This window comes from Homo sapiens, chromosome 2 (genome assembly GCF_000001405.40).
Source record: "Homo sapiens chromosome 2, GRCh38.p14 Primary Assembly".
Classification (NCBI taxonomy): domain Eukaryota; kingdom Metazoa; phylum Chordata; class Mammalia; order Primates; family Hominidae; genus Homo; species Homo sapiens.
The window spans coordinates 168,981,298-169,004,087 of NC_000002.12; the positions used below are offsets into that span (position 1 = coordinate 168,981,298).

A 22,790-nucleotide genomic window follows, 5' to 3' on the forward strand; every position below is an offset into this window, starting at 1 on the left:
CCACTCACGCTTTCTCCCTAGAATCCCAGCCTATGCATAGGGACAAAAATTATCTCTTCATTTCCTTGTCCTCAATTATGGCAGGTGGTTCCTCCCATAGGCAGATTATGTAATCTTTCAAGCCCCCATTTCTTCATCTGCAACACAGGGATAATGATAGCATATATTTCATAGGATTATTACAGGATCAAATGAGATAATGTGTGTAAAGATGATTAATCCAGTGCTAGTCTCTTCAATGGTAGTAATGATGTTGGTGATGATGATGCTGACAGTGAAGAAAGTATTGAGGTCCCACACTTAGGAGGCGGTAAAGGAAGCAGATAGAACACTTCTTATGGTCCAATTTAGTTTAAGACCACACACGTCAGAGGTCTTCCTACCTCAGCAAAGGAACCTTCCATTTGCCCTAGATCCGGGGCCAGCAAACATTTTCTGAAAAAGGGCCAAATAAATATTTTAGGCTTTTCAGGCCATATGGGCTCTGAAGTAATTACTCAGTTCTGCCATGTAGTATAAAAGCAGCCATAGACATATGTAAATAAGTGACTGTGGCTCTGTCCCAGTAAAATGTTATTTATAAAAACAGGCAGTGAGCTGGATTTGGCCTGTCGACCATAGTTTGCTGACTCCTGGCTGACTGGAGGCCTAAATTGAAGTTTGGGGTCCAACTCTTTGAATGGCTCTCTGGATGGGGAGGAGTGAGTGAGACAGGACAAAAGCACATTCCCAAATCATCACAGTAGCTAGCAACATCCCAATAAGCCATCATTTGTCACTCAACATCATATTCTTTAGCCCTGTGAACAGCAGAAGTAGTGTAGACAGAGAGATGGGAAGGGAGACTGCTGTGGAACAATTAAGCTATGGGTGTGCTGGAGAAAAAGGGGTCCATGGCCCCTGGGAAGACAGAGTCAGAGGCAGGAAAACAGTGGTTAATAGGTAGGCCTCAAAGTCAGGGAGACCTGAGTTCAAATCCCTCTCAATATTTCTTGACTTCATGGCTTCAATTTCATTTTTAAGTGGTAGTATAATGACACCAATTACGGAATGAGATTGAGAGCATTACATGCAGTAATTTTATTACATAATACGTCACTCAGTGCTTGACACTTTGTATATACTGAATGAATGTCACGCTCCATTATGTGTTTATTTTTATTAATGAATTCTGAAACTCAGGAAGGTCATGAAAGAACAACCTTCTGCACCATTCAGGTCCCCTTCATCTTTCCCTACCAGACCACAGAGTGCATTTTTTCTCTGTGCACAAGTGATACTAATTACAGTCACTTATGTGAACTACTTACCATTTATGCCCAATTACCATGCAGCCAGTAACGATTTTGTGTATCACAAAACGTACTGGATTAACCAAACCGTTAATTAGTTTTGTGGATTAAAACACTCAACTCAGCCCATGCACACTCAGCCTTCATAGTTTGCTGCTCAGAAGTGTGGCCAAGACCTGAGAGAGAGAGCGAGCGAGAGAGAGAGAGAGAAGAGAGAGAGAGAGCAAGGAATATAGTGTTAAAGGATGCATTTCATCTTCCCAAAGGAAATTTTCTCTTAAGATATAAGCAGAGGCTTACAGAAAGACGTTGGGAGTAACAGGTTAATAATCAGTTGATTAAAATGTTAGAGACCCATAGTATGCCATGTCTGCACATAGCAAGGACTCAAGAAATATTGGTTGAAAGAATAAATTATTTACAAAAGTAGAGTAGCTCACTGTACAATGGGCAGGAAATTTAAAGATGAGAGACATAAAATTGGATTCCTACTACAGAGAGTTACCAAAGGGATTTTTATTCAAGTGCTTCCAGTTGGTATTGTGTATTATTTGATTTTCAATTTACCAATTCACTTTTCCCTCTGAACCATTATTATTGTATACCTCTATCCTCTCCTTGTAGGCATGGAACAAAAGGAAAAATAAGTTTTCTCAATGCTTGTCTTCTTGCATAGCAAGTATGTATAAGCAGCTAGGACTAAAGCCAACTACTGATATCCCTATTTTGGTAAATGTCAAAGTTCTTAGGAGGAATTGGATCAATAAAGACAAGGGACTATAGTTAAAATCTGGACCTGCAATACTTCAGTGGCTTTTCCAATCTGTAAAAACTGTATCTAAGTTGTTAAGAAGTGGTTAAATTATAAAATTGGTAACACTTCCCATCCATACTATCTCTTTAAAGTTTACAAAACACATTAACCTGTATTATCATATTTATTTTCTTTAACAAAGTTCAAAAGATGTCAGCTGTTCATGCTGCCAAGATAAACTGAATTGAAAAAGTTGTTCTTTGTGTATTATCATGTTCTTAATGAAATAAAGTCCGTGGTTTGGAATGATTATGGTTTGACCTCTGATAATCACTTCCATTTGCAAATCAAAATCCTACTCAATTTTCCCTGGCAATGTATTTATCTTAAAGCAGTAGATTTTGAATTTTAAGCTCTCAGCTAGCAAATTTCTGGTATACAAGGTTTTGATATTTTTCATTGTTTGCTCTATCCGGAATCTGGAGCTAAAAAATTTTACTTAAGAATTTGATATAAAACGACTCCCTATTTACTTGCAGGGCAAATGAAACAGATATTTCATTTTTTGTTTCCCTGACCTCGTAGATTTTACTGTCTGAGGGTAGAAACGGGTGGGCACAAGTGTAAATAAATGCAAATATTCCATATCACAAAAGTGCTTTGAAAAAAAAGTACAGCAGATCACAAAAGAGAATGAAAAATGGGTGAGTGTAAAAGGCCTGACTGGGAAAGTGGCATTTAGCTGAGAATTCAAACAATGATCAGAGTCCAGTTGCAACAAGAGAGAGCCATAAGCTAAGGAGGAAAGGCCTTGGGAGAGGGAGCAGGATAAGAAGCCTTCCTGGACCCCCGCCACACCTGGTTATCCTGCTATTCACTGTCAAGGTTCTCTGTCCTCTATAGCATGTCTCTATTTGTCTGTATTCATTTACATGGTTACTTATTTATTGCTTGTCTTCTCCATTAAAGTGTAAATCCCATCAAGGCAAAAAAACAAAAACAAAAACAAAACCACATTTCCGTTGCTCACTGTTGAATCCCCTGCATTTTCTAAGTGTCTGGCACATAGTAGATGCTGAATAATTACTTATTGAATGAATAACTGTAAAGACAATGAAAATTAAAGGCATTAGCTACTTTAGCACAAGTGAGCAATAAAGTACATTTGTAGCACCTGTTCAGTTAAGGCTGTTATTGACCTGGCATTTTAGTAACTCATTATGTTTCACAAGTACATTTATTAGTATATATCTTGGACTATCATAAAGCTCAGTTATACGAGCTGTTAATTTTTAGCTGAGAGATCACTGAGTTTCCATTTTCATGGCATATTTTCTTTTTGGACTCAGTCAGAAAATCATCATTTCATAGCTATAAAGTGTTCAGTTAATTTGAAATTATTAAATTGCTGGTCTTATCAATTCAAATGTTTAGCATCCCTTTACTATAAAATATATAAGTATTATTTGTTTCTCTATAAAATTTCTAGAAGATAACATTGGAAAAGCCCTTCTAGACTTTGGCCTAGGCAAAGATTTCATGACCAAGAACCCAAAAGCAAATGCAATAAAAACAAAGATAAATAGGTGAGACTTAATTAAACTAAAGAGGTTTTTCACAGCATAAGGAACAGTCAGCGAGTAAACAGACAACCCACAGGATGGGAGAAAATCTTCACAATCTACACATCTGACAAAGGACTAATATCCGGAATCTACAATAAACTCAGAAAGTGAGCTAAGGACATGAATAGACAATTCTCAGAAGAAGATACACAAATGGCCAACAAACATATGAAAAAAATGCTCAACATCACTAATGATCAGGGAAATACAAATCAAAACCACAATGTGATACCACCTTAATCTTGCAAGAATGGCTATAATAAAAAAATCAAAACATAATAGATGTTGGCATGGATGTAGTGAAAAGGAACACTTCTACACTGTTGGTGGGAATGTAAACTAGTACAACAACTATGGAAAACAGTATGGAAATTCCTTAAAGAACTGAACATAGAACTACCATTTGATCCAGCAATCCCACTACTGGGTATCTACCCAGAGGAAAAGAAGTCGTTATACAAAAGAGATACTTGCACACGCATGTTTATAGCAGCACAATTTACAATTGCAAAACTGTGGAACTAGCCCAAATGCCCATCAATCAACAAGTGGATAAAGAAACTGTGATATATATATAACATATATGTATATATATACACAGATACATATAATTACATATATATATGGCAGAATACTACTCAGCAATAAAAGGAATGAATTAATGGCATTCACAGCAACCTGGATGGGATTGGAGACTGTTATTCTAAGTAAAGTAACTCAGGAATGGAAAACCAAATATTGCATGTTCTCACTCATAAGTGGGAGCTAAGCTATGAGGATGCAAAGGCATAAGAATGATACAATGGACTTTGGGGACTCAGCGGAAAAGGGTACGAAGGCAGTGAAGGATAAAAGACCAGAGCTTGGATTCAGTGTATACTGCTTGGGTGATGGGTGCACCAAAATCTCACAAATCACCACTAAAGGACTTACTCATGTAACTAAATACCACCTGTTTCCCAAAAAAATTATGGAAATAAAAAAAAATTTAAGGTATTACTTGTTTCCACAGACAGACTCCATAAAATCATTGATGCTTTTTTCCTGAAGGCACCAAAGTAATAAACAAAATATCTAATCCATGGACTTTTCTGAGATACCAGAAGGAAATGCTATGTCTCGGTCAATAAGTCCAAGGTACCTGGACAAGGGTTCCTGGTGTATATTCTCCTTCATCCAGGACAAGTGTGGAGCCGTACCAGAAGGCCAGTGCATAACACAAAAAGATGAGACACCACACGAATCCAGTAAAGAATCCCATCACTATTCCTTTTCTAATTCCCCAACGCTGGGCGAACACAAGATTTTTCTCATACCTGTGAAGACAAAATGCTTGAGTCAATTTCGGCAGAAACAGCTCAAGTTATAATGTTTAAAACAGGCCGTGATGCAGTGGTTTTACAAAATGATCATAAAATCATCGCAAACACAGAGCAGCTTCAGGGAGAAAAATCTCCAATAACCTTTATGTAGTTTTTTAAAGTTTGTTTTAACCTGACAATGAAACATGTTGAAAGGGCGATACTTAACAGAGCTGCCTGATTGCTGCTTGGATTGCATAGTGAGGTAAGCTTGGCCCCAAGAGAAAAGAATTTTCAACATAAATATATGAACAAGAGAGATCTAGTATTATGTTTGAAGTGTTTCCTTGAGTCACATGACATGTCCTTATCAGAAAATAATGCAACTGGCTCCAAATAAGCAGACCAGACTTTTTGTTTCCAGCTCCCCAGGCTTGGAACTAGTGTTTGCACCAACTCATCTATAACTCACCCATCTGCCCTGTGGCTGAGACGCTGTGTTGTGACACACTGGTCAGGTTCACAGCCATGAGACATGGATAACTGAAACTATGTGGAAGTCCAATGCAAGGAATAGGTTTCAGTAATTCCATGATCTAGCCATTAACAATGGGCTTTGTCTCATATATAGCTCAGGCATTCTGAAACTGCCTTCCTACATCTCAGGAATTGAATTCATGGAGAACTTTTAACCTTTTGCAGGACACAAACTGAAGGTCTATCCTATGTTTGTTACCATTTTTAAAACACTACACTGTCTCTTTTATTGACAATAAAAGATAATGTCTTTCATGGTGGAAGAAATATGCTACTGAAATTTTTTACAAGAAATAAGGAACCTCACTCCACAAACCAAAAGAAGTGGGGAAAAGACGATAATAAGAGGTTGTAAATCCTATTCTCTTTTTTACTTGATGGATTTGGTAGCAACTGAGAATAACACCATCTTACCAAATCTACAACACATAAAGTAAGAGTTGCTATTCAGTTGGTAGCTATTTTATAAAAATCAAAGCATGGCACGTAGTAAGTACTCAATAAATACCAGATAAATTAAAGAATAAACAAAATTACATTTTGGACAACTGTATTATTTTGGCCATTTGGGTTTTTCTTTTCACTGGGAGTTAATCTCTAGAATAATGCTCTATAACTTTTCAACACTAATTTGTTTTTTGAGACAGGGTCTCACTCCATCATTCAGGCTGGAGTGCAGTAGCATGATCACAGCTCGCTGTAACCTCAAACTCCCCAGAATCAGGTGATCCTCCCACCTCAGCCTCCCAAGTAGCTGGGACTACAGGTGTACACCACCATGTCTGGTTAATTTCTGTATTTTTTTGTAGAGATGAGGTTTTGCCATGTTGCCCAGGCTGGTCTCAAACTCCTGGCCTCAAGCAATCCACCTGCCTTGGCCTTCCAAAGTGCTGGGATTACAGGTGTGAGCCACTGTGCCCAGCCTGTTTGACCAAATAGAAATCTTATCAGACTTTATAAAGAACATGTAGCACAGTACCTGAATAAAGTGTGTTTAATTAAAAAGGTGTTCAATAAAAATGTGTGAAATAGCATTTTGAATCATGCTGGCATTTCTTTATTATTTTTTAATTGACAAAACTTACATATATTTATGGTATACAACATGATGGTTTGAAGTATGTATAAATTGTGGAATGGCTAAATCAAGATAATTAACATGCATTACCTCACATACTTATATTGTGTGTGTGTGTGTGATGAGAACACTTAAAAATCTATTCTTAGCAATTTTCAAGTATGCAATGTGATGTTATTAACCATAGTCACCATGTTAACAACACATTTCTTGACTTTATAAACTGCCTCTTAAATGTGAATAAGGAAGGGTTTCTTTTAGATCACCATGAACTAAATTAAAACAACTACAATTAGATAATTAATGTCATTATTTTTAAAATATCTCAAACTACCCCTGTTTAACTGAAATTTTGAATCCTTTGACCAACGTCTCCCCAGTTCTCGCCTGCCCCCTCCCACCTCAAAGTCCCTGGTAACCACTGTTCTGCTCTCTGCTTCTGTGAGTTCAACTCTGTCAGTGAGATCATGGGGTATTTTTCTGTGCCTGGCTTATTTCACTTAACATAATGTCCTCCAGGTTCATCGTGTTGCTGCAAATAACAGTATTTTCTTCTTTTTAAAGGCTGAATAGTATTCTATTGAATATGGCATGTAAATTTACACACACATTTTCTTCATTCACTTGTCTGTTAATGGGTGCTTAGGTTGATTCCATACCTTGGCTATTGTGAATAATGTTGCAGTGAATGTAAGAGTACAGTTTTCTCTTGACATAGTGATTTCATTTCCTTTGGATATATACCCAGTAGTGGGGATGCTGGATCATATGGTAGTTCTGTTTTCCATTTTTTGATGAATCTCCATACTCTTTGGCTGTACTGATTTACTTTCCCACCAAAAGCGATCCGTGTAACAGTGTTTCATTTTCCCCATATGCTTGCCAACACTTGATATCTTTCTTCTTTTTATAATGGCCATTCTTACAGGTATAAGATGATATCTCATTGTGGTTTTGACTTGTGTTTCCTTGATGATTAGTGATGTGTGACATCTTTTCACATGCCTGTTGTATGTTTCTTTTTGTACGTTTCTATTTGTATGTTTTCTTCTGAGAAATGTCTATTCAGGTCTTTTGACCACTTTTTAATCAGGTTGTTTTCTTGTCATTGAGTTGTTTGTGTTTCTTATATGTATTGGATATTAACCCCTTATCAGATGTATGGGTTACAAATATTTTCTCTCATTCTATAAATTGCCTCTTCACTCTGTTGATTGCTTCCTTTTTGAAGCTTTTTAGTTTGATGTAATCCCATCTGTCTATTTTTGCTTTTGTTACCTGTCCTTTTGGGGTTGTGTCAAAAAAATCATTGCCTAGACCAATGTCATAGAGCTTCTTCCCTATGCTTTCTTCTAGTAGTTTTTCAGTTTTATATCCTACATTTAAAACTTTAATCCATTTTGAGTTGATATTTGTGTATAGTGTGAGGTAAGGATCAAATTTCATTCTTCTGCATGTGGATATCCAGTTTCCCCAACATCGTTTATTGAAGAGACTGCCCTTTCCTCATGGTGTGTTGTTGGTCTCTTTATTGAAAATCAATGGACTATAAATGCATGGACTTCTTTCTGGGCTCTCCATTCTTTTTCACTGGTCTATGTGTCTGTTTCTATGCCAGTACCATGCTGTTTTTATTACTATAGTAATCAAATAATCTAATAATGATCTATTACTTTGTAGTAGATTTTGAGATCAGGTAACGTGATGCCTCCAGCTTTGTTCTTCTTGTTCAGGATTTTTGCTATTCAAGGTCTTTTGTGGTTGCTAAGAAGTGGCAAGAATGGGCATTTTTGTCTTGTTCCTGATCTTAGGGGGAAAAGCTTTCAAATTCTCACCCTTGAGTATGATTTAGCTGTGGGCTTGTCATATGTTACCTTTATTGTATTGAGGTACATTCTTTTTATACCTAATTTGTTGAGAGTTTCTGTCAGGAAAGGATATTGAATTTTGTTAAATGCTTTTTCAGCATCTATTGAGATAACCATATGGTTTTTGTCTTTCATTCTGTTAATGTGGTATATTACATTTATTGACATGCCTATGTTGAACCATCCTTACATCCTAGGGATAAATCTCACTTGATCATGGTGAATGATTCTTTTAATGTGCTATTCAATTTGGTTTACTAGTATTTTTGTTGAGCATTTTCACGTCCATGTTTATCATGGATATTGGCCTTTGATTTTCTTGTAGTATCCTTTTCTGGCTTTGGTATCAAGGTAATATTGGCCTTGTAAAATGAGTGTGAAGTATTCCCTCCGCTTTAATTTTGTGGAAGAATTTGAGGAGGACTGGTACTAGTTTTTCTTTAAATGTCTGGTAAAATTCAGCAATGAAGCTATCAGGTCCTGGGCTTTTCTTTCATGGGAGACTTTTTATTACTGATTCAATCTCCTTACTCATTATTGGTATGTTCAGATTTATTTCTCTTTATTTCTCCGTGATTCAACCTTGGCAGGTTGTATTTTTATAGGAATTTATCCATTTCTTCTAGGTCATCCAATTTGTTGGCGTTTGTTTTTAGTAATCTCTTATGATCTTCTGTATTTCTGTGGTATCAGTTGTAATGTCTCATGTAGGCTTTTCTTTAATGACAGCAAACAGCATTATAGACTGATATGAGGTATAATATTTATACATACATACCATCAGAGTTTGAAATAAATATCTACCCTGAGCTGGCTTTCTAAAAATTGCCAACTGCAACATCTTTAAAAACATACTGCTAAAGGCTTGGGACTTCTTATAGTACCTAAATTACCAACCTAAATTACTCTGCTTAGCTCCCTCTTGAACAAGTACTTCCTCTGGAGGCCACAGACCAAGGTGGGTCTGCCGCTTTGCACAAACTGAGAGACTCAGGGTACTATGCTGATTGATGAAATTAAGGAAAGAATCAGATTCCAATTAACCAACCTTTCAACCTCTCTTTTCTCACCACCAAAAGCAGCCACTGTTCTCATTGATGAAATGACTTCATCAGCCACCACCCCTGCTTTGGCATAGGCCTTCAGCTCATAGTCCGTAAACTTGGACACACTCTAAAAATCAAAAAGAAGAAAAGAAAATGTGAAGTCCAAGAAATTAGGTAAGTCAGTCTGTCATTCAGATTCATTTAACATGTGGCATGGGTTTAATACAATATTAGATTCTCACTGTAACATCATTGACAGGAGGAAGAAATCTGGTCCAAATTTGGTCTATGGTAAGCTTCATCCAGGGTTGTCTGGTTGTTGATATATCAAAATGACCCTACTAAAAGTAAGAACCTCCTCAAAGAATAAATTCCAAATAGGACATTCTGTAAGACTAAAGTGTTTCAGTCATTATACTAATAAAGTGTTAAGTTAGACCATGTCATAGTTCATTGCTATTAGCCAATGGCCATTGCATAATTTATAGACAAACGCCAGAGACACATGCAGATATCATGATTGGGTATAATATATGACATATAACATATAAAGTATAGGCATGATGTTGAAAGACGATTTCAGATGATTCCAGAAAAGAAAGTCCATTTTCACTCAGTTGGAGACGCTCAACTATGTAGTTTTGATTTTTACAAAAGGAAATGAAAAGACATCTGTACTTAACAGTAGACACATTACTTTTTCTAAAACTGACTTGGATTGAGTCCTAGTCAAAATGAACCCCCAAAGAAAACCCTGGCACAGATTAATAAATAAGAAGAGGAAAAAACACATATTGCGGAAGATCAACTAGCTCAGAAATATAAAAATATATATAATACCCAGATTAAGGGAGTTTATCTTCCAGTAGTTTTTCCAAACTTTTAGCAGCAAAACTCTTATCAAAATCTTAGATGGAATTCTAAGATGTAAATTAAGTAAGTATTCATAGTAGTTTTTAAAAACAATATATTAATTTCATCAGTGTACATTTTATAAAACATGTGAATTAAACATGTAACAGTAAGGAAAGTGAGGCTTTTTTTTTTTTTTTTTAAAGAGACGGGTTCTTGTTCTGTTGCCCAGGCTGGAATGCAGTGGCATGATCCTAGCTCACTGCAGTCTCAAACTCCTGTACTCAAGCATTTCACTGGCCTCAGCCTCCTGGGTATCCGAGACTATAGGCACATGCCACCATGCCTGGCTATTTAAAAAAAATTTTTTTTTTTTTTTTTGTAGAGATGGGATCTCACTGTGTTACCAAGACTGGAAGCTGTTTTTATTAACATTAAAATTTACATTTGAGCCTAGTGAAGTTGCTTGTATAGTTTGTTGTATAGTTGCTTGTAGAAGTTTGTTGTATAAGGACAAGCATACACAGACTTGAAAGCAAGACAAGACATGTGCAGACCTACAACATTCCAAATCAGTGACGAGTTTATGAGAAGCTAGAAATGGGTACTGAGATGACTAGAGAAACTAAGCGTTAGAGCTGTTTAAAACCAAGTGAACTGGGCTATATGTTAACCTCCAACATGTTGAAATGTGGCCTATGATCCACGTGAGTGTGTATATTACTTTATCACAGGTTTGAAGAAAGAGATTAGTGTATTCAGAAAAAAAATGAAAAAATGTTTGCAAAACCCCTGAAGCTCTTCTGTGGAAGTTGAGGGTTCTCTGGAGTATAGTTGGAAAGTGGTTAGTAGGAAAGACTGCCGTAAAACTTGAATGATATAGTGGATTGAAAAACATATACATCTCTCTTTAGCAATTGATTCTGTGCCCGACACGGCTTAAATGCATAACGTGGATTATTCCCTGAATCATCATAATGTTTTTGGGAGGTATTATCCCTATTTTAAAGACAAGGAAACTGAGGTTTTCAGGGGTTAAATGGATTTTTCCTGAGTCACACAACCTGTTAGCGGTACAGCCAAGTGGTGACCTAATGAAATGGAGCGAGCTCTTTGCTATTGTCACTTTAAACCATTTTCTATTTTATCTGGGAAATGTTTGAATAATGTAGACACTGTGAGAATATTTTGCTATTGAGCAATAGGAAGTTGGTACCTATTGCTCAACGATGTGTGAGGGTGTATGCAGTTTTTCAGTTAAATTCTATTCTCATTTATAGCACAGTTTTAGTATGCCTGATTCCATAACGTGCTATCTAATGTGGCTGCTCTAATAATAATTTCTCAGTCCTTGGGAGTGTTTTTAGCTGATGTGACCCGAAATTCCTATTCCTATATGTTGTCCAGGCCTCAATTCCTGGGGAACCGAGACAGTGACTGGGATAACTCTTGGAATGGGTCAGATCACCTCTCTCTGAAAGAGGTTATCTGAAAGATAAGATGAAATGGAGAACACAGTTGTGATTGCAGAAATCCTTCTTGTGTGCTTGTTAATGCTCTTTGTCTGTTGTGCCTTTTCAGGGAAGTGCCCAAGCTTGGGAGGACATGGAGAACAATAGGCATATTGGAGAGTGAGTGGGGTTTGGAGTCAGAGCCCCTTAGACTTGAATCCTACTCTGCCAGCTGTGCAGTCCCAGACAAATCCCCTTACCTTTCTGAGCCTAGTTTCTTATATTTAAAATGATGTTAGTGCTCACTTTATAAGATTGTTGTAAAGATTAGAGATAATGACTATTAAGCTCCTAGTAGTGCCTAGAGAAACAGTGAATGCTCAATAAATGTAATTGCTGTTAATAAAACAATATTTACCTATTAAAACATCATTAATCCCTATTCGATGAAATGTCATTTGACACTGGGGAGTAATCTAACAAACTACATGAAGATAGTGATAATTATGTTGCTAACTGTACTCAGGAAAAGGGACTCAAGCTTCACATTTTTGGCTGTTTATGAAGGCAAATGTCTTCCCATGGAGAGATGCAAAAAGACATTCTTACCAGACCAATGGTGGCTGCTCCAATCCCAATGAGAGGGCTGACAGAAATAATAACCAAGGTCAGTTTCCAACCCCTGAAAAATCCCAACAGGAAACCACAGATGGTCGAGGTCATGCGCTGAATGAAAAGGGCCATTTGGTCAGCTATGGCATCATTGATTTTATTAATATCACTAGAAACCAGAAAGATTTTGGTCACTAAAACTGAATTTGATCATTCAAATATCTTGCTGAAAGTCTCAGTCTTTCCCTTTTAAACATTCCCATCTCTCTATCCCTATCACCCTTGGATAGCATTAACAGCCTCTCAGATCTTGGAAAATTTGCTGCACCTTGGGATGTTATCAAGCCTCTTTCCTGATAGCCAATCAATTTTGTTCTTAATCTAGGTTTCCCAGCTGGTACTCAGTGTTGATAAAGGCTTTTGGAAACCATCTTATTTGTCTTTTTCTTTTACATAGCTAATATCCTTGCTCTGTCTTGCAAAGCTTTTCTTTCTTCATGCCTGCTGAATCCTTTCAGCCTCAAGGTTCTAGTCACATACCTTCTCGTGCATCAATCTTGTATAATCCCCCAAGAAGAAGTAACACCTTTCTCCCTGTGTTTCCGTAACACTGTAATTAATCCTTGTGCATTTGTATGTGTGTGGAATTATTGCATTCTGCATATAGGCAGTATAGAGTAGTGGTGAAGAGTGCAGATTCTGGAGCCAGACTAGGAATTTGAATACAGACTCTTGTTGGGCAAGTTACTTAACCTTTTTGTGGCTCAATTTTCTTGTCTGTAAAATAAGAACAATAATAGAACCTACCCCAATGGGTAATAATGAGGATTAAAGTAGCGAATATATGTAAAGCCTATAGGACAGCGCCTATCATATAATAAACAATATGTGTTAGTTCTGATTATTTGCTTGCATTTCTTATTTCCCCTACGAGGCTGTAAGTTCCTCAAGAGCACAAGTGCAAGGCAATTGCTCCAGAATATTTATTGAATATAATTATATTAAATTCATATTCCTGAGAACATTTCCTTAATCTCTTGTCCAGTTGGAGTGAAGAGAGCTTGGAACTAAACAGCAAGAAAGAACCTAAGACATCACCCAGGTATTAGGCCATTGTGTTCCAGCAGGGTTAGATAACTGCTCAAGGTCACAGTAAGGAGCAGAGTAAGTGCCGGAAGTCAGGGGTCCTGAATTTCAGTGTGCTTTATCTACACTGTAGAGTGACTGTCTTTCAGGGGACCTCAAAATTCAGTTCAATAGGGTTCGACCAATTCTAATTCCTCTCATTTAGAATTCCTGGGTGGCTGTTAATGACCTAAACTAGGTGTAAACTGGATTTAAATCCAGTTACACCTGGACAGCTAAATAACCTTTTTAACTGTCTTCTATAATATTTCCTTTCTAATATTTTAATTAAGGTCTACACACCAAATTGCAGTACCTTGGGTTTCAATTTTTAATGTCCATATTTGACAGTGTATTACTTATGAAAAAGCCATGCCACATATGAAAGCCCAATTTAAGAGATGAAACATAGGAAAACTGAAAATATTTTTAAATTTTTATTTAATTTAGAAACAAGGGTTTTATTATCCAAAAATCACACACTAAAATACTGTTTTACCAGCTACTTACTCAGAGAATCTTGTATTCAGCTCCCCCACTGAATTGCAGTCAAACCACCCTATTTCCATTCTCATTATTCTCCTAAAGTAAAATTTTCTCATTTTCTGTATCTGACGAGCTGCGGCAATGACCCAAAAGCATATCTGGAAATGGACAAAGGAATGTTTAGCATTGCAATGTTTGAAATATTTGTTAATTTCTTTTTTCAGAAGAAAGTACTTTCAATACAACAGTTGAGAAAAGGGGGAAAGTAATTCAGAAAATGCCTCTTCTTGGGAACTAAGATGTGAGCTCTGTCATCTGCTGCTAAAAGTGGAGGTAAACAGAACCTTCAGCAGGGTAGCCTGAGATTTGGGTTTGAATCCAGCTCTGACACTTAAGCAGGCCCATGTCTTCTGGACTTTACCCTACAGAGCTTCACTTTCCCCATGTGTGAAAGAAGGCTCACAGCACCAAAAATAAGGCATTATTGTTCTTAAATAACTATTTTTAATGCCATTTCTGAGTGAATTTCCTCCCGGAAAGACCTGCCTAGAAGCATTCATGCATAGTTTTCAGGCAATAATTTTCAAGAAATGTAAAACAAAAATTATGACATCAGCAAAAATCTAATCTGCTGATAGATTTTCCCTAACTAAAAAAAAAAAAAAAAAAAAAAAAGCCTGTCATTAAAATTCCCAATGCCTAAATGGGAAAAAATGATTCATTTCTCTTTACAAACAGCACTGTGTGGAATTCTTGAATGAATGGGAAGGAATTCATTATTTTTCTACAAAAGAAGGCAAAAGATAAAATATTTTTCTTTCTTAATAAGAGTTAAGTACCTCCAAGCCCTTCCAACACTTAAATCTAAAATATGCTCTAGATTCAGCCTTTCAGAATTTGGGTTGGAATGCAGTTTGTTGAGACTTTAGCAATGCGAGAAAAAGAAAGTAAATTTTGCTTTCCTCTATCTCCCCCTGCCCCACATTCTTCAAGCTACTCAACTGCCCCCTACAAACACACCTGCAAATGTCCATTTCTGGATATAGAAGAGAGGATGAAGTAGGGAAAGGCAGGGGGAGGACAGGACATTACAACTACGAGTCTATTATGCATCTCTCTGGACAGCCACTTGTATCCTCCTAAGTTTCCATCTGAGAGAAGAATCCCTCTCCATTCTCTCATGTCCTCTGGAAACAGACTGTAGTTCTTAGGGCTTCTGATTAGCTTAAAGAGTGGCAACACATTGCATCTCATTGTAGTGTCTTTGAGGTCAGATATTGATCTATAAATTATACGGAGGAGCTACTAACTTGAATATATCCTGTGATAAGTACTGCGACAGCAATTCCAGCATAGTAACTGGCAAATTTGATCATTTCGCTCTCGATGTTCAGCAACCTTCAAAAGAGGGAAAAGAATGTTCAGACTTGCAAGTAGGATCAAGCCACCAGAGATTACATTTGTGGATATAGAGGGATTTAAAAAATATATATATTTTAAATATATATATAATATATAATAAATATACTATATATAGTATATTTCTATTAGACATGAGTAAGACATTTTATCTATGCAAAATTATAATAAATCCAACCAAATTTCTAAACAGACCTCATGGTACCAATCACAGAAAATATGCATATCCCCTTCATTTTTATAGGCAGAGATGCTAGGACTATGAAATAATTAATTAGCAGTTGTTGGAAGCCAGGGTACCCTAAATGGCAGCCCAGGGCTTGGTCCACTTTAGTCTCTTCCATGCATACTCATCATGCAGTGATAGAGCAATCACAGGCAAGAAAGATTTTCAAAAGCCAGACAGGCTGTCTGAAAAGAAACTGATAGAACGATGTGTGCTGTAAATCAGGAGGCTTACTGTTACCTCTTCTAGGAATGCTAGCCAGCTTTTCAACTTCTCTATCTCAGAGTGACACTGAAAAATGTGCCTGTTATCTTCCCATGGGAGAGAAAAGCATTTTATTAGCCCTGTCTTTTTGCTGACTACAGCCTAAGTTCATTCACCAGGACAATTTCTAAGGTTGAAGCCAAAGACACTTGTGGGAAATAGCAAGAAGAAAAATAGCAAAGAAAAATACTTTGGCATTTTTCCCAGCAGCACTACCATGTTGCTGCACAGGGTTTGGGATTGGCAGTGCCAGGGAGTGGAGGAAAAAAAAATTCTGAAATTGCTTTTATGAATGAAGGCATTCCATAATTAGAAAATTAACATATTGGTTGATGACAGTTATGATCTTCAGGGACAAGTTAAATGGTATAGAGTCTACTTTAGAGAATCAGCAAGCAGCCTCTTCAGCATGGGTTCTTCATCCTACATCCTTTCCGCTCTCTGTCAGCCTTCTTTTTGTGGCTTGAGCTTGATTTTTTTTCTCTATTGAACTCAGGTCAAGCATTGCAACATAATTCATTTAATACAGAATAAACTGCACTATTAGTCAATATCTTTATTGAATATATTTATATTGAGTACATTTATGCTTGTCTTGCTAGTAGATTGCAAGCTACTCAAGGTCAAGGGCTGGGCTTACACTGCTTGGTCACTCTGCCTGAAATCAATAAATGTTTCCTGATTTTGCTTTGACTTTCAAAATACTAATTAGGAAGGGAAATAACTGCTGTGGTCAACCCTTCTGACAACCTCAAAACCAGCTAAGGTCTCTTGTGCTCACCACATTCCCAGTCTTTCATGATGACTAAGAAGAACCCTGAGATGAACAAGAACTAGAAAATCATAAACTTATCGATGAATATCCACAATCAGAGGCTCTTATAAAAGCTAAATATCTCTGAACAGAGAGTATACTATATTATTATAAGTAAAAGCTTTCTAAGGTATACATGAGTCAATTCTCTTCATTTTCAGCTTGTTTTGGGGTGTCCCAAACCAGAAAACTATAAGCATTTGTCCAAACATTTTACTTAGAGAATAGTAGTTAACAGAGGCTGGGAAGAGCAGTGGAGGGGGAGGGATGGGGAGAGGTTGGTCAACAGGTACAAAGTTACTGTTCAGGAATAAGTTCTGGTACTACATTGCATAGTAGGTGACTATAATAGTTAACAATAATACATTGACTATTTCAAAAGAGCTAGAAGAGAGGATTTTGAATGTCCTCACCACAACGACATGATAAATGTCTTAGGTGATGGAAATGCTAATTATTCGATTTGATCATTACACATTGTATACATGCATCAAAACATCACACTATATCCCATAAATATGTATACTTATGTGACAATTAAAATGATAACAATAAATAACTTAAATTTCCTGTGGTGTCTTTATTCTACAAGCACTGTAAGCGGAAGTGATGAAGCGACTGTCATTAAAAATGCCAGTTTACAAACATATGTGGATTAAGGGTGTTGGGCACTGGCCCAGCTCTGGGATTTTCTGGAACAAAGGTCAAGATAATTCTATCACTGCTGGATGGTGCAGATAAAGATATATGCAGTTTATCACTCTCTTCACTCCTGCGGTGTCTCTGAAATGAGTGGTTAACTCATTTTTATTTTATTCTGGGAAGAAGAGGTGATTAAGGCTTTAGAGAACTTGATAATATTTCTGGAACAACAGAAAAAACCTATCAGAAAAACTGACAGGAAGGAAAAGAGCAGGCCTGGCTTTGCTCCCTTGACTGCATACCAAGGTCTTTATTGCCTGAATGTTGGGAACACTTGTCATCATAAAACCCCAGGAAGGATTCTATAAAGTGTGCAGGTGATTTGGACCACAGAATGGCATTTTTTTAACAGCAAAAACAGACCTGAATCTACTTGAATGAATTAAGATTCCCCATTTGTTGAATAGCAAAGAAGGGAGAGAGATGACATTAGAGGAAAAAAGATAAAGAGACGTTTTACAAATTATTATGACATGAGGACTTATTTTGCTTTTTTGTTTCTTTTTACCTTGTTTTGGAAACTTTTTACCTTTTTTTTTTTCATTTTACCTTGTTTTGTCATTCAATTTACACATCAAGCTTACAGATTTACTAAAGCCATATCTTGCAAATATCTTGCAAAACTGTAGTACAATATCACACCCAGGATATTGACAGTGATATAATCAAGATCAGAACATTCTCATCATCTCAAGACTCCCTCATATTGTCCTTTTATATCTCCACATGCTTCTATCCAATCCCCATATCCTCCTTAGCCCCAGCTACAACCAGTCTGTTTTCTTTTGCTGTAATTTTGTCATTTCAAGAATGTCATATAAATGGATCTCACAGTGTAGAACCTTTTGGGGTTGGCTTTTTTCCACTTAGCATAATTCTTTCAAGTTTCATCATTAACAGTTCATTCCTATTTATTAAGGAGGATTCCATATAATATAGATAGATGGATCACAGTTTGTTTAACCACTCATCCTTTGGAGGATATCTGGGCTGTTTCCAATTTTTATCTATTACAAATTAAGCAGCTATCAACATTTGTGTATAGGTTTTTATGTGAGCATAAGTTTTCATTTCTCTGGAATAAATCCCCAAGAGTAGAAATGCTGAGTCATATGGTAGTTGAGTGTTTAGAATTTTTTTAATTACTAAACTGTTTTCCAGGATAGCTATGACATGGTTTGAATGGCATGAGTGATGGTAGAGTGATCCAATTCTTCCACATCTTCATCAACATTTAGGGTTATCACTATTTTTAATTTTAGCCATTCCAATAAGTCTATAGTAATATCTCATTTTGATTTAATTTGCATTTCTCTATTGATGTTGTTTAACATATTTCATGTGCTCATTTGCCATCTTTTGTCCTTACTCATGTCTTTTTCCCATCTTTGAACTGAAATTTGCTATTGTTATTTTAACACTGAGTTTTGAGAATTTTTTATATATTCGGGATCCTAGTCCTTTTTTGGATATACAAGTTGCAAATATGTTCTCCCAGTCAGTAGCTTGTCTTTTCATTCTCTTAACAGGATCTTTTACAAAGTTTTTAATTTTATTGAAGTCCAATTTATCAAATTTTCCCTTTATGAATTGTGCTTTTGGTGTCATCTACATGCTCTGTCCAGCCCTAGAACATGAAAATGGTCTCTTCCATATTTTTCTAAAAGTTTAGTTTTATTTGTTACATATAAGTCCATGATTCATTTAAGAAAATTTTTGTGTAATTTCATTTTTTTGCCCTATGGATGTCCAGCTGCTCCACAGCCATTTGATAAAAAGCTTATCTTTCCCCCACTGAATTGTTTTTCCACTTTTGTCAAAAATCAATTGGACATATTTGTGTGGGTCTATTTCTGAGTTCTCCATTCTGTTCCATTGGTCTATATATCTGTCCTCTGTCAATGCCACACAGCCTTGACTGCATTAGCTATATAATATGTCTTGAAATTGGGTAGATTGATTCTTCTCACTTTATTATTCTTTTTCAAAATTATTTTAGCTATTCCAGTTTTTTTACATTTTCATAAACATTTTAGGGTAATCTTTTCTATATCTACAAAAAATCTTGCTTATATTTTGATATATTAGGGCTTAAATATGTCATTTTCTTTCTTGTTTTCTATTTGTTCTCTCTGTTATTTCTGTGTTTGCTTTCTCTTACCTTCCTATGGGCTGCTTGAACATTTTTTTAGAATTCAATTTTGATTTATCTATAGCGTTTTTAAGTGTCTCTCTTTGTATAGCTTTTTAAGTGGTTGCTCTAGGAAATACATTATAGATACATCACTTTTCACAGTCTACTAGTGCTGTCATTTTACCAATTCAAGTGAAATATATAAAGATTACCTCCCATTACATACCTCTACTCTCCTTCGTTAATAAGTGTCTTATCTATTTCCAAATTAAACACACATCAGACAGTGTCAGAGTAGGATCATATCACAGTGTTAGAGTTTCTACCATAAAACATAATTCAGAAAGCTTAAGAGAAGGAAGGTCTATTGCATTTACTCATAGTTTTGTTACTACGCACTCCCTTCCTGATGTCTAGGACTTCTTTTATTATTTCCTTTCTGCTTAAAGAACATTCCTTAGCCATTCTTTTGGGGTAAGTCAGCTGGCAACAAATTCTCTTGATTTATTTCATCTGAAAATGTCTTGATTTCCCCTTCCATGGCGGTGGTGGTAATGTTTTGACTCTGTCACCCCAACCCAGCAGGTAAGGGGAGAGGTGCCTTACTATAGTGGGGATGAGTCAGGCCTCCCACATATTCTCCATTGACACCATGGGGGTGAGTGAGGGGGTGGCACAAGAGGGGCTTATTACCACCTAGCAAGTGTGGAAGAGTCTATGCTCCCAAATCAACATTCGCTGGCATGGGTGAGAGTGAGGTCACCGTTTTCTTCTGTGGTGTTTGGCTAGAGTAGAGCAATTATTGCTTAGAAGTTTTCTACTAGGCTTTCTCTTTCTGACCCACTATCTAGAAAAAGCAGGATTTTGTTGAGTCTTTTTGGTCTGCACTCATTGGGGTTTCCAGTTTGCCAGCTTTTCTAACACTTAATCTAGTACATATCAGGCATAAGATACCCAGGGAACTTATCAACATGTTATTACTTGGCTCCTGAGGGCTCTAGCCAGTTGACTTTTTCCCCCCACTTTTCAGGATGTTATGTTTGTTTTACATATAATGGATTAAACAATACAATCAAAAGACAGAGATTGTCAGATTGCATTAAATAAAACAAGATCCAACTATGTACTGTCTACAGGAGACACACTTTAGATCCAAAGATACAAACAGGTTGAAACAAAAAGATAGAAAAACAAAATCATTTCAAAAAGCAACCGTAAGAACCCAGGAGTGGCTATACTAATATCAGACAAAATGGACTTTAAAAACTTGTTACTAGAGATAAAAATCATTTTGTAAAGATAAAAGGGTCAATCCATCGTGAAGTGATAACATTTATGGAGATATATGCACCTAAAAAAAGAGCCTCCAAAACACATGAAGCAAAGTCTGGTTATTATAAAAAAGAAGGATGACATCAAGTGATGGCAAGAATGTGGAAAAAAGGGAACACTTGTACACTGTTGGTGGGAATGTAAATTAGTACAGTCATTATGGAAATATGTATGTAGGTTCCTCAAAAAGTTAGAAATAGAACTGCTATATAACCTAGCAATCCTATACTGGGTATATATCCAAGGAAAATGAAACCAATATATCAAAAAGATATCTACGCTCCCATGCACACTGCAGCATTACTCACAATAGCCACCTATGTGTCCATCAACAAATGAATGGATAAAGAAAATGTGGTACATATAGATAATGGAATATTATTCAGCCTTTTAAAAAAATCCTGTCCTTTGCAACAACACAGATGCACCTCGAGTATATCATGTTAAGTGAAATAAGCCAGGCACAGAAAGACAAATACAGTGTAATCTCACTTAAATGTGACATCTAAAAAATTTGAATTCATAGAAGCAGAGAGTAAAATGGTAGTTACTAAGGGCTAGAGGTGGGGAGATTAGGGAGATGGTTAAAAAATACAAAATTTCAATTAGGAGGAATAAGTTCAAGAAATTTACTGGGCTGACTATAGTTAGTAACAATGTTTTGTATGCTTGAAAATTATTGAAAGAGTAGATTTTTATTTTTTTTGTTTTATAATGTACATTTTATTATTTTTAAAAAATTTTAATTTTTATTTCAATAGGTTTTTGGGGAACAGGTGGTGTTGGGTTACATGAATAAGTTCTTTGATGGTGATTTCTGAGATTTTAGAATGGTGCACCCATCATCCAAGCAGTGTACACTGCATCCAGTGTGTAGTCTTTTATTCCTCACCACCCACCCTTTCCTCCAAGTCCCCAAAGTCCAATGTATCATTCTCATGCCTTTGTGTCCTCATAGCTTAGCTCGTACATATGAGTGAGAACATACACCGTTTAGTTTTCCATTCCTGAGTTACTTCACTTAGAATAATAGTCTCCAATTCCATCCAGGTTGCTGCAAATGCCATTATTGCATTCCTTTTTATGGCTGAGTAGTATTCCATGGTGCGTGTGTGTGTGTGTGTGTGTGTGTGCATATATATATATATGCACACACACAAAAACATATTAAAATGTAATATATAGTAATATAAAATGTAATATATATTACATATATATCATATCTGTATCATACGTAATATATATATTACATTTTCCTTATCCACTCGTTGATTGATGGGCCTTTGGGCTGGTTCCATATTTTTGCAATTGCAAATTCTGCTGCTATACACATACATATACAAGTATCTTTTTTGTATAATGACTTATTTTCCTCTGGGTACATGCCTATTAATAGTAGTGGGATTACTGGATCAAACGGTAGATCTACGTTTACTTCTTTAAGGAATCACACACTGTTTTCCATAGTGGTTGTACTAGTTTACATTCCCACCAATGGTGTAAAAGTGTTCCCTTTTCACCACATTCATGCCAACATCTATTCTTTTTTGATTTTTTGATTATAGCCATTCTTGCAGGAGTGAGATGATAACACACTGTGGTTTTGATTTGCATTTCCCTGATTTGCTTGGTAGTGGCAAGTTCCCTCAGCATTTGTTTGTCTGGAAAAGACTATATCTTTCCTTCATTTATGAAGTTAAGTGCCATTGGATACAAAATTCTTGGCTGATAATTGTTTTGGTTAATGAGGCTAAAAATAGGACCCCAATCCCTTCTAGCTTGTAGGGTTTCTGCTGAGAAGTCTGTTTTTATTCTGATAGGTTTTCCTTTATAGGTTACCTGGTGCTTTTGCCTCACAGCTCTTAAGATTCT

General features: G+C 36.4%; 1 protein-coding gene across 6 annotated transcripts in view; it reads right to left on the minus strand.

Annotated features, from left to right (window-relative positions):
- Nucleotides 1-22,790, minus strand: part of ABCB11 (ATP binding cassette subfamily B member 11) — a 115,935-nt gene that overhangs the window by 65,908 nt on the left and 27,237 nt on the right. For 5 of the 6 annotated variants that reach the window (XM_017005165.2, NM_003742.4, XM_011512078.3 and 2 more), the window contains exons 6-10: nucleotides 15,338-15,425; nucleotides 14,052-14,185; nucleotides 12,414-12,585; nucleotides 9,504-9,628; nucleotides 4,813-4,987 (exon numbers count right to left, since the gene is read on the minus strand). In XM_017005165.2, coding sequence (XP_016860654.1) covers nucleotides 4,813-4,987; nucleotides 9,504-9,628; nucleotides 12,414-12,585; nucleotides 14,052-14,185; nucleotides 15,338-15,425 — 694 coding nt within the window. Of the gene's footprint in view, nucleotides 1-4,812; nucleotides 4,988-9,503; nucleotides 9,629-12,413; nucleotides 12,586-14,051; nucleotides 14,186-15,337; nucleotides 15,426-22,790 lie in introns of those variants that run through there. The other variant, XM_017005166.2, reaches the window with a different exon arrangement.